General features: G+C 43.9%; 1 pseudogene; it reads right to left on the reverse strand.

The window, feature by feature from the left end:
* Positions 1-263: 263 nt before the first annotated feature.
* Positions 264-1,741, reverse strand: TERF1P4 (TERF1 pseudogene 4; annotated as a pseudogene).

A 2,809-nucleotide genomic window follows, 5' to 3' on the forward strand; every position in this document is an offset into this window, starting at 1 on the left:
GGAGGCAGAGGTTGCAGTGAGCTGAAATTGTGCCATTGCACTCCAGCCTGGGCAACAGAGAGAAGCTCTGTCTTAAAAAAAAAGAAAATTCATTTTAATGGGTTACGTTACAGGGTTGAGGTCAACCTACAGACACAAAATAGGTTAACTGAATTTGGTTTTTTTTTTTTCGTATCAGGTTTTAATTTTTTCATTGGAACAGGATTTGGGGGTGGGGATACTAAATGTGGCAGGGTTCAACAAATTTACATTTTATCAAAATAAGGTTCTTAAAGAGTACAATGATAGCATATGCTTTAATACTTATAGCACAAACCCTCATATTAATTGATGGTCACAGAAAAATACTGTAATGCTTTAAACAAAAGTCTTAAATTACATCAATGACACAAGTTTCAAACAAAATGCAGTGATCAAAATACTTAACTGTCCTTTCATCAAGCTTTTACAAACACAATCAGCCTTTGCTGTCTGAGCAAATCAGTTTTACTTTCTTCATGGTCCTCCATCTGTCTTTTAACATGACACTTGTCCGGTTGTTGAATTTATAATGCAACAGTATTTTAGACCAGTTTCCCTCTCCATATTTCCTCATGCCAGATCTCAAATTCTTGTCTTCTTCCCAAAGCCATGCCTGTCTTTTTCTAGCTCGATGTTTTTCAGGAGTTACCGGTTGACTCTTTGAAACAGGTATTCTGCTTTCAGTGGCTTTTCTGCTTTCTTTATTCTTTTTTGTACTTTGAAGAATTCCTATTCTTCTTTCTTTCTTATTAAGGTCTTGTTGCTCGGCTCCATGTTGCATCTTAGATAAGAAAAGATTCTTGTGAGACCTCAATAAGGATACTGTACCCTCTGAGGATTCAGTTACCGCAGACTGTTTGTCACTAACAATTTTTCTTGTATCCAAATTAGCTTCAGTTTCCATTTCAACATCATTACCATTAGGTTTATCTTGAGAAGTTAGTGTTCTTGTCCTTTTGCTTTCTACTACTTTTGCCACTGCCTTCATTAGAAAGGTTGATGATTTTTCACTTAGCACATAATTCACATAACTCTTAATTTTCTCCATCATGTGGTTGCAGCTGAAGTGTTGAAAAAAGGAATGAAATGTATCTTTCTGAGAGATTATCATAAGCAATTTGCTTTTCAAAGGCATATAAGAATTTGGATCACCAAATATTCTTTCAAAGACTTCTTCTGCTTCTTTAAAGTTGCCATTTTCCATACAGCTATAGCCTGAATTTTAATTAAATTCTGTATTTCTTCATGAAGTTTGTCATGTTCCTTTTCAATTGAACCCCAAATCATCAGGGCTGATTCCAAGGGTGTAATTCGTTCATCATTTTCAAATTGTGCATCAAGGGTTTTTCCTGCTGCAATTCTTGTCAAAAACTGACATATGTATATCGTTCTCAACTGGTAAGCTGTTAGACTGGATAGTCCATGAATAATAGCCTCTGCGCTGTTGCGGGTCCTGCGGAAGTCCTCCGAGCGGCCATCGCGGAAAGCTCAGCAAAGAGAGAGGCAGAGGAAATCGAGCATCCAGCCGGCAGCCACGGCCTCGGCCTCGGCCACTAGGCCCTCGTCCTCCTCCTCCTCCTGGGGGGCCCCCACCTGCACCTGGCACTCGAGCAGTTCCTGGCATTCGAACAGCTCCTCCTCGTTTCTCTCCGTTTCTGCCATCTCCTCCTCGGTAGGGTCGGCATCCCTACCATCCGCACAGACCCGTGGGCTCGGGGCCTGAAATCTTTGTATTTCTTATAAAATACTCTAACAAGAATTATCTCTTCAGAGACCTTTTTTTTTTTTCTGTGATGGTTTAAATGTATCCCCCACCCAAATCATGTGTTGACAACTTAACTCCCAAAGCCACAGTATTGAGAGGTGAAAGCTTTAAGAGGTGATTAGGTCATGAGGGCTCTGCCCTCATATATACATTAATGCTATTATTGATGGAGTGGTCTCCTGATTAAAAAGATGTGTTTGTACAACTTTTCTCCTCTTTTGTGTGTGTGTGCTCCCCTGCCCTTCCTCCTTCTATCACAGAATGAATTATCAAGAACACCCACACCCAATATGGGCCACCCAGCATTCAGAACTGTAAGAAATAGATTTCTGTTCTTTATAAATTGCTCAGTCGGGGAGCCAAGATGGCCAAAAAGGAACAGCTCCGGACTACAGCTCCCAGCGTGAGTAACGCAGAAGATGGGTGATTTCTGCATTTCCATCTGAGGTACCGGGTTCATCTCACTAGGGAGTGCCAGACAGTGGGCGCAGGACAGTGGGTGCAGCGCACCGTGCGCAAGCCGAAGCAGGGCGAGGCATTGCCTCACTCGGGAAGCGCAAGGAGTCAGGGAGTTCCCTTTCCTAGTCAAAGAAAGGGGTGACAGACGGCACCTGGAAAATAGGGTCACTCCCACCCCAATACTGTGCTTTTCCAACAGGCTTAAAAAATGGCGCACCAGGAGATTATATCCCTCACCTGGCTTGGAGGGTCCTACGCCCACAGAGTCTCGCTGATTGCTAGCACAGCAGTCTGAGATCAAGCTGCAAGGTGGCAGCAAGGCTGGGGGAGGGGCGCCCGCCATTGCCCAGGCTTGCTTAGGTAAACAAAGCAGCTGGGAAGCTGGAACTGGGTGGAGCCCACCACAGCTCAAGGAGGCCTGCCTACCTCTGTAGGCTCCACCTCTGGGGGCATGGCACAGACAAAAAGACAACAGTAACCTCTGCAGACTTAAATGTCCCTGTCTGACAGCTTTGAAGAGAGCAGTGGTTCTCCCAGCAGGCAGCTGGAGATCTGAGAATGGGC

Source organism: Homo sapiens, chromosome X (genome assembly GCF_000001405.40).
Source record: "Homo sapiens chromosome X, GRCh38.p14 Primary Assembly".
In the NCBI taxonomy this organism is placed as follows: domain Eukaryota; kingdom Metazoa; phylum Chordata; class Mammalia; order Primates; family Hominidae; genus Homo; species Homo sapiens.